The 12,720-nt window shown below is 50.8% G+C and overlaps 2 protein-coding genes across 11 annotated transcripts in view, besides 1 other annotated feature; one reads left to right on the top strand and one right to left on the bottom strand.

The window, feature by feature from the left end:
* Positions 1-4,239, top strand: LOC124901104 (uncharacterized). Of its 4 annotated transcripts, none has more exons than XR_007058990.1 (3): positions 1-210; positions 334-483; positions 2,775-4,239. XR_007058990.1 is itself a non-coding variant. In XM_047417992.1 (3 exons), the coding sequence occupies exons 1-3, from the start codon at positions 46-48 to the stop codon at positions 3,320-3,322; spliced, it is 495 nt and encodes a 164-aa protein (XP_047273948.1). In that variant the 5' UTR covers positions 1-45; the 3' UTR covers positions 3,323-3,732. The 4 variants fall into 4 exon arrangements, 3 of the variants coding, with proteins under 3 accessions (XP_047273948.1, XP_047273949.1, XP_047273947.1); XM_047417992.1 differs by having other exon boundaries at positions 1-54; positions 2,987-3,732; XM_047417993.1 differs by having other exon boundaries at positions 3,165-3,732.
* Positions 4,240-6,513: 2,274 nt separating this feature from the next.
* The window catches only part of ARHGEF37 (Rho guanine nucleotide exchange factor 37), an 83,344-nt gene continuing 77,137 nt past the window's right edge, over positions 6,514-12,720 (bottom strand). For all 7 annotated transcript variants that reach the window (XM_011537642.4, XM_047417170.1, XM_006714784.4 and 4 more), the window contains 2 exons: positions 12,516-12,673; positions 6,514-9,500 (listed from right to left, as the gene is read on the bottom strand). In XM_011537642.4, coding sequence (XP_011535944.1) covers positions 9,291-9,500; positions 12,516-12,673 — 368 coding nt within the window. In that variant the 3' untranslated portion in view covers positions 6,514-9,290. The remainder of the gene's footprint in view (positions 9,501-12,515; positions 12,674-12,720) is intronic.
* Positions 8,324-9,523: an enhancer, noted in NCBI's record as "CDK7 strongly-dependent group 2 enhancer chr5:149011522-149012721 (GRCh37/hg19 assembly coordinates)". NCBI's record gives its function as "activates an origin of replication core promoter dependent on BRD2, BRD4, P300/CBP, MED14 and CDK7 cofactors, with strong dependence on CDK7, by STARR-seq in HCT116 cells {active_cell/tissue: HCT116}" and the evidence as "EXISTENCE:reporter gene assay evidence [ECO:0000049][PMID:35650434]".

The following is a 12,720-nucleotide window of genomic DNA, read 5'->3' as shown; positions in this document are numbered from 1 at the left end:
AGTAACTCAAGATGGCCGACTGATCGCCAGAGAGTATTTGAGGACATGGTTACAGTTACGTTCCCAGGGGAACAACCTTTGGCCTCTTAAGACATCTACTTGCTTTCAGTTTTGAAAGAACTCAGGCAGCCATGGGGTATTTTTCAGAATTCCCGGCGGTGAAGGGTCAGAGCCATGGGCATTAGGGAGAAAGCTGAAGGCACAGCGGGTGTGAGTGTGGGGTCGCTGCCTGCAACACTTGGAAGAAATACGGGGAAGGGCGGGGGAGGGATCAAAACTGGCTTGTGTGGCCAAGGATCAAGTTGTTATTAAGCACTTTTATGTGCCTGACAGAGTGCCAAAGTCTCCCGTGATGTATCCTGTGTCCACATCCCAACAACCCCATCGGCAGGACTCTTTCCTGGTTTGCCCACAAGGAGGAAAGTGAGGAAAGTGAGGCGTCAGAGAGATGAAGCAACTTGTTTGAAGGCGGCCACACAGCTGGTAAGTGTGGGGACAGGATTTGAACGAGGGTATTTTGCATGGGAAGTCTGGCCTTCTGGCTACCACCCCACCTCTTCATCCCAAGACACTCTCCCAAGTCTGGCCCCACATGGCTCCCTAAAACCATGCTGTCCTCATATGGGAGGGTTTTAAGCAGCTCTAGGGCAGCCACCAGAGCCCAATACAAAGTCCCTTGCACTGACAGTCATACTCTAACCCTGTGCCCAGTTCTCAATGCTGCCTCCTGCTATGATCTCTGTATCTTTCATCGGCCTGATCTCTCCTTCCCCAGAGCTTAGTGCTTGAACCCCAACCAAAGATTGAAACCCTGCTGCCCACAGTCTGACCTGGCTCTGACCTCTGACCTGCCTGGACACTAGGAGATGCCCATTCCCGTGTCCCACGGCAGCTCCAACTGCCTGATGGACACCTGCTGCCTCCCCCACATCCCTGGGGAGTGTGCCCCAGAATCACCATGCCCTCCCAACTCCCGTGATCCTTCACCTGACTCGGCCCTCTTCTAGCTGGATCTGTGTCCCCAATTCCAGCCCTGCCCCAGGGGAGAGGCCTGGGGCTCCATCCAGACCACTAGTCTCATGACAGCCCAACAGCGTGAGGCCCATGGCAGCTGGCTGCTGTTGAGACTTGTGTTTGGTCTTTTAGCTTGCAGCTCTTGAGAGCTTCCTATGTGCCAGGCATTGAATTAGTCCTGTAAAGTGGATTCCCTCGTTTAACCTCAAACAGCCTTGTGAGTAGTGAATAGATGCTGCAGTTATTGCTATTAACGTGCTGCTCTATTCCCACACCAGAGGCTCTACTGATGTGCCCAGGAGCCCTGAGACCCCAAGACCAGCAGCTTCTGCCCTGGCCAGAAGCCCCATCCCACTTCCCATTTCCCAAACCTGGGGCTCACTGCCCCTTCTGAGTAGGGGCCAGACACATGCTGCTGAGGCATCATGGCTAGAAAATTGTGTTTCCTCCTCCCCTCCCCCAGGGCTGTAGGGCCTGGCCCTTCCCCAAACCCTGGCTCTGCACTGACACAGTGCCCTTGGATTTCCTCTGTGTTTGTCTGCTCTGGGCCTGGCAGTAATGGTCTCAGCCAGCCAAGACTGGGGCAGCTCAGCAGACTACCACAGCCACTGATACTGGAGCATGACCAGCTCAGTTCTTCTGGGACTGAAGACATTCCAAGAGCTCCATGTAGGAATGGCTGACAGCCCCCTGAACCAGGGAAGGTGCAGACAGACCTAGAGATGATTTCCATTGTTCCCCAAGGGCTGGGCTGCCTGAGGGACCAGGTACCAGGGAGGTGCCAGGGATCCCATAGCACCAAGACCCAGCCCCTCCCTGCAGCCCTGGCTTCTGAGTGGTATTTTGCTGTCCAGTCAGAAAGCAGAAACTACTCTATGCATTAGAACAGAAGGAATTTGGGCTGAGCGCGGTGGCTCACACCTGTAATCTTTGCACTTTGGGAGGCCTAGGTGGTCAGGAATTCCTGAGGTCAGGAATTCGAGACCAACCCGGCCAACATGGTGAAACCCTGTCTCTACTAAAAATACAAAAATTAGCCAGGAATGGCGGCGGGCACCTGTAATCCCAGCTACTCAGGAGCCCGAGGCAGGAGAATTGCTTGAACCTGAAGGAGCTGAAGGTTGCAGTAAGCAGAGATCATGCCACTGCACTCCAGCCTGGGTGACAGAGCGAGACTCCATCTAAAAATTTTTAAAAAGAACAGAAGGAATTCATTCTGGGGAGTAGGTTACACAGGTGAAAGATCTGAGAAGCACCCCAGAGATGAACAATAGCAAAAAGACATTACAACCCCTCCACTGGAGGGATGCGGGGAAGATCCTAGTGTCTAGGATCTGGTGTCACCAGACAGAAACTGGAAGCACAGCCAGGCCTGTTTGATGGGACGTGGGACCACAAGGGAGGGGCTGTCCAGTGGGAGCTGGGACCACAGAGGAGACCGGCCACTGTCAGAGATGCTACCTGAAGCAGAGAGGGGGGAAACTGAGGCATTTCTCCCACCTGCCAGTGCCTCCCATTGGCCAAACCTACCAGGCAACCAGAGGGGAGGGGAGCCGGGGAGATGGAGTTCCCTGCAGCACAGAGCAGAGCAAGGCAGGGAACAAACATGATGGCAAGGAAGCAAACAGCCCACCTCTGGAGATAGGAGCTGCTCAAGATGGGAGGGCGCCAGTCCTGGGTTTCCCCCGGGCCAGCCTGCCTGAGGGTCAGGGCTGTCCCAAACCGGCAGCCGCTGCTTACAACTCAGTTTCCACTCACAGGCCCTGAGGATATCCAGACCCTAGAGGACCAATGACAGGCAGACAGGCCCAAGATGGGAAACCCAGAAGCACTCTGAGATGTCCTAGACGCTGAGATGTCCTGCCTGAGACCTCCAGGATTAACTGAAGGCCAGCAGCTAGTGCTCCTGAGCCCAGTCATAAGTGACAGTCTATGAGGGCAAACTGATCCCCACTTCTTTTCACTCCTTAAGCTTCTACTGAAGCCTCCAGCAGACTCTTGGGCCCCAAAGCTGCTGCGTCCCCTAGAAACACCTAAAAGGATGCTCCTGGCTGCAAAGCGCCCTGAGCCTATAACCACAGGAACTGCTCCATCAGTATCCAGTGTGCCTGCTTATTGCCTGGTTACCTGCCCGGCTTGTCCTTGTGCAGATGCAGTGGATGCCAGAACACCCTACAGCTGGAGAGAGGCGGGGAAACCCTCAGGTGCTTGTGCCTACGAGCACTGCCCCAGCCTGGCAGCACCAGGGATGGGAGAGGAAGGAAAGCCCCAGGAATGCCTGTGGGGTGTGACAGCAGCCCCTGAGTGAAGAGCTGTGCCCAACCCCAGCTAAGCCCTCAGGACCCAGGACAAGGGGCCTTCTTCTACATAGGAGAGTGGCCTCATCAGCATCCCACATAGAGGGAGGCAGACAGGCCCTGCAAACCTTCCTCTAAACTTCACGCATCTCCTCGGAAGTCCCTATAATAATGACAAGTAGGTTTATTGAGCACTAATGGGCTGGGTGCTTGGCTAAGTGGTTTATGTCAGCATCTCATTTAATTCTCCGAAGAACCTTGTATGCTAGTATTATGGGGAGCCTGTCTAGTGGGTCAGAAAATATGACCGACAATAAAAATTTGAAGACAATAACAACAATAATAACATTAACAAAGGAAACAATGCTTCCCAGAGATCTAAGGAAGGGAAATTAATGTCTGATGAAGGGATGATTAAAGTGACGATGGAGAAAGGGATTTCACAGGAAATACGAAGATACGAAAGTAATTCTTCAGAGAAGATCTCCACCAAGAACACTCAACCCACATTCAGGCAGAATATGCAAGGAGGCAAACTGTTGTGGACTACGCGATCTCCACATGGAAGATGTCACATCAAAAAATAAAAATAGGCCGGGCGCGGTGGCTCACGCCTGTATTTCCAGCACTTTATGAAGCCGAGGCGAGTGGATCACCTGAGGTCAGGAGTTTGAGACCAGCCTGGCTAACATGGTGAAACCCCATCTCTGTTAAAAACACAAAATTAGCCAGGTGTGGTGGCACATGTCTGCAATCCCAGCTACTCGGGAGGCTGAGACAGGAGAATTGCTTGAACCCAGGAGGCAGAGGCTGCAGTAAGCCGAGATCGTGCCACTGCACTCCAGCCTGGGTAAGACAGAGCGAGACTCTGTCAATAATAATAATAATAATAATAATAATAATAATAAATAAACAAACAAAAACTCTGGTTCCTGGCGGCTTCTCTTGAAATATCAGAATGGTACCACGGCACCCTCCTTCTGATGTGGGAACAGTTGGTTGGAGCCAAGAAGCTACAGCTTTTTAGACTGAGTGTGCATGCTCTGGTCAACACAGTCCCCACCACCCCCTAATGCCTTTCACTTGGCCCTTCCTCTCATCTCCACTAACTGCCTGGCACCATGGGCGTTTCGCATTGATCCCAAAGGCGCTTCCCAGCCGTCCCTTAGCTGATCCCCTGCTGCCACCTGGTGGTCACAGTTCTTCTGTGCCATCAATGCATATCAGTGATATTCCTGGTACATCTACCACCAGGCACACTGATTGTCCCTTATTTAATCCTTTTACCAACCCTGGGAGAACAGGAATTATTGTATCCATTTTACAGATGAGAAAACAGAAAAGGTAAGTTGGGTAATTATAGATAAGAAAAAAAAATGAGCAAGGTTAAGTGAATAAATCATTCAGGATCCCAGATTCCATGATGTTGCCAGAGTGGAATCCAGCTCTTTCCTTTGCCCCAGCCCAGGGTATTTTAGGCTCTGTCCTGCCACACCCTTGAGATGGCCAGAACTCTGCAGTGAGTACTTTTGAGTCTGAGTGGGAGGACAGAGCAGCCTGGGGGCCATCAGCAGATGTCTTCATACATAGAAACCACGGTCCATCCATAGTCAAGACATTTGCTGCTTGCCTATGGCCAAGTAGGTCTTGGACTCAGATTTTTTTTCTTTTTCTTTTTTAAAAAAATAAAAATAAATAAATAAATAAATAAATAAAAACAGGGTCTCCGTCTGTCACCCAGACTGGAGTGTAGCGGCGCAATCACAGCTCACTGCAGCCTCGACCTCCTGGGCTCAAGAAATCCTCCTGGGTAGCTGGGACTACAGGCATGAGGTACTGGGGCCTGGTGTGGACTTAGATTTTCTGAGGCCAAGTGCTGGGCCTTTTCATGCCACCACACTGCCTCCCAGGCCTGAGAAGGCCTCCATCCTGTAGATGACAGAGTAATCCCATAGGATTGCTTTATTTTTATTTTTTTGAGGCAAGAGTCTTGCTTCGTCACCCAGGCTGGTGTTCAATGGCATGGTGATCTCGGCTCACTACAACCTCTGCCTCCCAGTTTCAAGCAATTCTCCTACCTGAGCCTCCCGAGTAGCTGGGATTACAGGCGCACGCCACCATGCCCAGCTAATTTTTTGTATTTTTAGCAGAGACAGGATTTCACCATGTTGGCCAGGATGGTCTTGAACTCCTGACCTCAAGTGATCCATCTGCCTTGCCCTCCAAAGTGCTGGGATTACAGGTGTGAGCCACCACACCCAGCCGGATTACTCTCTCCAATCTTATGTATCCCACAAGGCCCAGCACCTGCACCACCTTCCTCAGGAAACTGCCCCTGGCCACCTCAGCCTTCCCAAATCTCTCCCTTGTCTGAGCACCTATATGCCTGGTCCATAGCACCCCTCTGGGGCTGAGGGCATCTTTTCCTGTAGGGCCAGATAACTGCTTGATGTCTGACTCTCCAGTCGGCCAGGAGAGTCCTTGAAGGCAAGGCTTTGGTGTTCCTATCCTCTCTGGGATGCTTACTAAGCAATATGTATTGAACATCTAGTACTTGAGGCACATGACAAAGGCTTAGGGAGATTCTGGGATGAATCAGAAGTTCTCAGCCTCAAGGAGCATGCAGTTGCCTGTGGGCGCAACAGGCACACAGTCAGAGCCTAGTGATCTTCCCAAAGTACAACCCTGAGCACATCACTCCTCTGTTTCAAACCCTTTCATGCCTCCCCCACTGCCCTCAGAATAAAATCCAAGGCTCCTTTCCATGTTTGCTGCACTTCTGGGCCTCCAAATGTTCTCTCTCTGCCATCTTCACCTAACCACCCACTGGGCCTCAGCTTGGATATCACCTCTTCCAGGAAGCCTTCCTTGGCCGCCAAGTCTGAGACAGAGGTAGGCCTCTTCCCTGGCTTGCGTGGCACCTGCCATTACTTCATCCTGACACTTACACGGCACGTAATTGATGGGTGCCTCATCTGCCTGCCTTAGAGACTGGGATCTGGAAGACCGGGCCTCATCTGTCTGATTTCTTTCTGTATCCCCCAGCAGCTCAGGCCAGCTCCCTGAGGCGTGAAGGGTGTCCATTAAATGGACACCTGAGCAAACAAGATATTATTTTTATATACAGCAAGTGTCTAGCAAACAAATGGCACAGCGGGGCATCTGGCTACCCAATGTTTAGAGTCACACAAATTCCAGAGACTTTCCATCTTTGAAGTCCTTTATTCCCAGCAGTTCACATCAGTTACTCATTGAGCTGGGGTTCGTCATATTAACCAAGAATTCATTCATCTTTCTTTTGATATTGTAATCTTGTCCTCATCTCCACAACTGAGTTGGGGCCTGAGGGGTTTAAGAGTTCTCACTCCATCACAGGAGGCAAGGGGTACCCTTGTGAACCAGACTTCAACTCCTGGAAGTCTTGTTCAGTTCATAGGCAAATATCTTTGCAAGTTTAGTATGAGACAGCCCAACGGTTAAATAAATAAGACACAGTGCCATGGTTCTAGGCATTTGGAGAGGGAAAAGGCACATTACACAGATTCCCCTGGAGAAAATACAGGCCATTCTCATCTTCTCAACATGCATTTTCCCACTCTTCAGTGACTTTTAATCTTATCCCCTGGTCTATGAGAAACCATAACCCACGTGCTACTGAATACATTTTTATTTTCCCTTCATGACATAGACTTGGTTCCAAGTATATTTTATTTTCCTCCCTTATGCCTACAAGACATCCAATTTTGTTCAGGTCCCTTTTAATGGCACTTAATAAATATACATTCTGAGACCTGGCAGAACAGGCTGTCCCCTTTCACACTGCCTTTAAAGCGCCTGTTTGAACTAGCTAGTGCAGAGCTCAGGTGGGGCACGTCCTAGCTTACAGCTCATGGCCATCTCTGGCACCAGGTCTATCTGTCCAATACTTTGTGTCTAGGGTAGAGGTCCCTAACCCTGGCTGCACATTGGAAGCACCTGGGAAGCTTTCTGAATTCCTGAGGCCCGAGCCACACCCTAAACCAATTTCATCAGAATCTCTGGGTGGGACGGAGCCTGGATTCTGCCAGTTGAAACCTGCCATGGTAACTTCAGTGAGCAGCTACACTGAGAACTCCTGAGCTACAATTCTAGCACACAGTAGGCCTTCGGTAGGTATCTGTGGAACCCACGAGTGGGTTTCCTATTTCATTATCTGTTCCCCTATGCTCTCTATTTTTATCAGAAATCTGAGCAGGAAAGAGCAGAGAGAATGAGTCAAGAGCATCCTCTCAAGTGAATTCGCTGCTGAGAAAGGAACCGTAGGGCTTGCATTTCTCTTGTGTCATGCAGTCTTCATGCTTTAACAGGCCCAGAGGAGGCAAGTTATAGACTGACACAGACATGTATATATTTCTTAAAAGCCCTTCAAAAACCAGAGCTCACTGCTTAGGCACTATGGTTATAACACAGACATGTTCTTGGAAGCATATCTAAACTACCTCCTGTTTGACACACATTCTAACTTGGGTTGGTTACAAACTTTGTCAGTTGTTAAGATCACACTTGGTCACATTTTCCCATTTCTGTGAATCTTGCAACTTATCTTTGCCCAGAGCAACAGCCTAGACATGACCACCCCAAGCAGGGACTGCACTGCACCCAACATTGCCCCAGCAGGTCAGTCCTCCTTGAACAGGAACTGTTTTTGAGGGGCTCCAATTTCCAGGTTCTAGAATGGGGTGGCTCACTTACCAAGTTAAAGAGGCTGGCTACATAGAATGCAGTATTGAGAAGCCCCCCAAGGTAGATCCTGGGTTACAGGAAAGAAAGCTATACTGATGAACAAGGTTTGCTGCCACAGGCATGGGCGTGGGGGAGGGCAGCATGCCGGGGGCCACCCCGAGATCACTGCTGTCATTTACATTTGTATCACACTTCACAGTTTACAGGGAGCTCTGCATGCTTAGCCCCACGTCATTCTCAGCACAACCCTGTGAGTGAGGTCTTTCTGGATGGGAACACTGAAGTTGTGTCCTACATCTAAGGTCCCACAGCCAATTGCATCACATCCACGGCTGCCTCCAGGACCTCAGGGGCCACCTGAAACCACTGGGGGTTCCCCCTGGCTCCCCTTCTAACCAGAAACAGGAAAGCAAGCCATTCCCTAACCTCCCCACCCACCAGGCCTTATCACCGCCTTCCCAGAGTTTCCTCTATGATTTGCATACCCCTTTGTTCCCTAGTCCTGAGAACACAGCAGTAGCTGTTCACCTGCTGCCAACAGCCTCACACACCCCACCTAACACAGTATCAAAATCCCCTCTTCCCTGGAACAGCCTCTGAATTTGCCTACACACATTCCAGAACTATGACTTGGTCACACCCACTCCCAGGACCAGTCAAGAGTCTTGGGAACCTCTCTGCTACACCGATAAATCCATGGCTTCCCCACTTGAGAGGGCTCCCAGTGGGTCACTGCCCAAGATAAACTCAGCTTCCAGCATAGAGAAATAAAAGCTGACTCATTGGTTATGATGTCTCCTGATACCATGTGTAGGAAGTGAACTGTCTGACCAGGCAGTTCTGGACTCCTCCAGAACCCGCTTCCTGCAACCACACAGCACGCAGGTAACATTATCCCGTGTGACCCACGCCCACAGGCAGGCCCGGATGCAGGCACAGCTAAGACTGGCCATAACCTATGGAGAGTCCTGGCCAATCAGCTGTGACCTGCTGTCCAAGTGCATTGTGACCCCAGGTCGGAATGAGTTCTTTATGCAGACATAATGAGCAGTCCTGGCTGGAGCCTCCTGTGCCCCCACCACACCAAGCACTCTGCGAGGCCCGCCCATGTCTTCTGGCTGCCTCCTGAGTGTGCTTCACCCACCCTGGCCTGGTCTTCCCTTCCACCTCCACCTTTCCTTTGCTTCTTTTCCCCCCAGGGTCAGAGCCTCTAAGCCTCCCCCATCATTTGGCAATGTAGGCTCCAAAGAGGGTACCCTAAGAGGGCAGACTCCAGCCCCACAGAACTGGGCTCCGAGCCCTGGCCAAGAAGCCAGAAGGCACATAACCCCTCTGTCCATTCACTTCCACCAGGCTCCACTCAGGGTTCCCCTTCTTGTCCTGGGCCTCCAGGATGGTCACAGGCTGGCCTGCCTGCAGGCTCACTTCATGGCTGCTTCTGGCCACAAAAGGGTACGCGGCTATGACCTGAAACACATGGGGAGTGACACAGAAATGGTCAGGGTGAGAAGGTAGACAGACTGGATCCAGAGAGGCTGTTTATCCTGTTCCCATCCACCTGGCTCTCGTCCCCATTGCTGGATGCTCGTCACCTCCCAAGTACATCTTTTGTACTAAAGGCAATGACTGCATCTGCTAGTACCACAGCCCATACTATGTGACTGGCACTGTCCTAGCACTCTACTGGGTTTGGGTTCTCACAATAATTCTATCATTCTATTTGCTGCATTTTTCAGATAAGAAAAATGAGGATCAGAGAAGTCAAGGAACTTACTCAAAATTGCACAGCAGTGAATCTAGGCCTGTCTGACCTCCAAACAGATATTTTTGATCCACTACTGCCACATCACTGAGCAGACTCAGCACCCTCTCCCTCTCCAGATCTAATGGTTTGAGCTGCCCAGGCCAGTTTCCCAGCTGAAAGTAGAGACAAGGATTTGGGCAACTTGTTTACTTTTTACAGAAAAGTATAGAACTGGGCCAGGTGTGGTGGCTCACGCCTATAATCCCAGCACTTTGGGAGGTAGAGGAGGGCAGATCACCTGAGATCAGGAGTTCAAGACCAGCCTGGCCAACATGGTGAAACCCTGCCTCTACTAAAAATACAAAAATTAGCCGGGCATGGTGGCGCACACCTGTAATCCCAGCTACTCAGGAGGCTGAGGTGGGAGAATTAATTGAGCCTGGGAGGTAAGGCTGCAGTAAGCCGAGATCATGGCACTGCACTCCAGCCTGGGCCACAGAGCCAGACCCCGAAAAAAAAAAAAAGAAAAAAAGAAAGGAAGGAAGGAAGGAAGGAAAGAAGGAAGGAAGAAAGAAAGAAAGAAAGAAAAATAAATTGAACTAGAGAAAACAATTGGCAAGGAGGGCATGTATTAGGCTAATATTTAACCTCTCTGAGCCTGTTTTACCACCTGCAAAATGAAGGGAATGGTCCCATCCCCTTCAGGACATTGAGAGAATTTCATGAAGGAATACATGTGTAGGGTTTTACACAGTGCCTGATACATACATAGCAAGGGCTCAATAAATGCAGGCTGCTTAGGTTTTTTGTTTGTTTGTTTTACCATTACTGTCATTACTGATGGTCAAGCCTCAGGAACATTAAGCACCATGGAAGGGCTGGGATGATCCCGGGCAAGTCCTGCAGAGTCCCAGAGGAAGCAGCTGATATGCTTGGGCAGATAGACAGCTGAGCTCACCCAAATGAGCCCCTGGATGGGGAGTCCCTGAGACACCACCCCCATTGACTGGAGCTGGGCGGCGGGGGTAACCTCATTCCTGTCCCCAGAGGCACCGGGGCAGAGGCTGAGCTGGGTGGTCAGGCCCTCCCGTGGGGCTCTGGTGGGTGCTTTGTAGCCCCTGGTGCTTTAATTCTGGCTACTGCTGAAGGATGCTGGCCTGACAGCCTTCCCGGTGGGTGTGGCACAAGCACTAGAGCAGAGGGTTCCCAGACACCTATGCAGCACTCACAGCCTGCGGCAGGCTCCTCCAGCCACCCTGGCCCGAGGCATCCGATTCTGTCCAGATCCTTTCTGTTGCTCCTGCTTCCCCTGTGGTACACCCCCTGCCACCCTCAACTGCTGATCATTGTGAGGGCTGCCTCCATTGAGGGAGGTTCACAATACATGCAGCCCAGCTTTACTGTCTCATCCCATCCTTCCAACATCCCACTGAACTTCTTCCCCGCTCATGGACTCCATCCCTGCAAAGCCAAATCCCTTAGTGGCTTCCAAACACTTTACTTTTCAGATATAATTCACATTCTATAATACTCACCCTTTTAAAGTGTACAATTCAGAGGTTTTTAGTATATTTGCAGACACATGCAACTATCCCCACTATCTAATTCCAGAACATTTTCATCACCCCCAAAAAGAAACTTCACACCAGTTAGCAGTCCCCATTCCCCACCTCCCACCCCCAGCCCCTGCCATTCATCCACCTTCTATCTCTACGGATTTGCCCATTCTGGACATCCACATAATGGAATCCTATGTGGCCTTTTGCATCTGACTTTGTTCACTTAGCAGCATGTGTTCAAGGCTTGTCCATGCTGCAGCATGTACCGGTGTTTCATTCGTCTCTATGGCTGAATAATATTCCATTGTACAAAGAGCTCGCGTTGTGTTTATCCATTCATATTGATGGGCCTGTGGGTTGTTTCTACTTTTTGGCTGCAATGAATAATGCCGCCATGAACACGCATACACATGCTGCCCATTGCTCTTCAGAGAAAGACTGAGACTGACACCCTTGTCAAGGCCACAAGGCCCTGCTGGCCTGTCCCTGCCCACCTCTCCAGCAGCACGACACTCCAGTCTGTCCCCTTTCTTCTCCGGCCACACTGGCTTCATTCGGTTCCTCATATACCTCCTGCCCTCTCCTGTCACTGGGCCTTTTCTGCAGAGCTCTTTCCATCTGCACCCCAGTACACCCTCTTTATCCAATTAATTCCCTCTCTCCCTTCCTGTTTGAGAAAAAGCACCACTCTTCTCAGCAAAACCTTTCCTGGACCTCTCCACACCTAGGGCTCTGGTACTTACCTCTGCTATTAACTTTAACTTCAGTTAGTCATGAAATTATTTTCTTAATCACTGTTTTCCCTACTCTCAGATTAGAAGTTTGAGGAAAGCAAAGACCATGATTTAGTTTTGCTCATCATTGTATCTCTCATCTAGTACAGTGCCTGGCAAATATTGAATGAATGAATGAATGAATGAATGAATGAATCTCACTTGCCCTGCTGATGAGGAACAAGGGGTTAGTTCTTTGTGGTTGCTGTGGTAGGGGTGGGAGGCCCCCTTCTTCAGGTCCCACTCCTGGCTGGGACACTGGCATGGCCATTGATCAAGGCCTTGGTCTCACAGAGTGGCAGCCCCACCAGACAGGAGGGGCATAGACTTTGAGAGAGAAGGAAAATCCAAGCCACAGTCCGGATGGCCGATGGGAGGCAAGCCCCCAGCCCTCTCCTATACTCACCTGGTTCATGGTGGGAATAGAGGGCACTAGAGCTGGGCTGGGCTCCGGTGTTAGACATCGGGGGTCTTTGTTCAGCCCCGCCTGCCTTCTGAGCTCCTCTGCACTGGGGACCACATGGTACAGCTGTAGTTTCCCAGCCGGCACATACCCACGATGTCCTAGGGAGCATGCAGAAGGTTAGCAGGCTGCGGGCCACCTTCCCGTC

The sequence above is a fragment of the Homo sapiens genome, chromosome 5 (genome assembly GCF_000001405.40).
Source record: "Homo sapiens chromosome 5, GRCh38.p14 Primary Assembly".
Taxonomy (NCBI): Eukaryota; Metazoa; Chordata; class Mammalia; order Primates; family Hominidae; genus Homo; species Homo sapiens.
The sequence above is the reverse complement of the archived record's forward strand: the minus strand, read 5'-3'. Positions and strand labels throughout refer to the sequence as shown.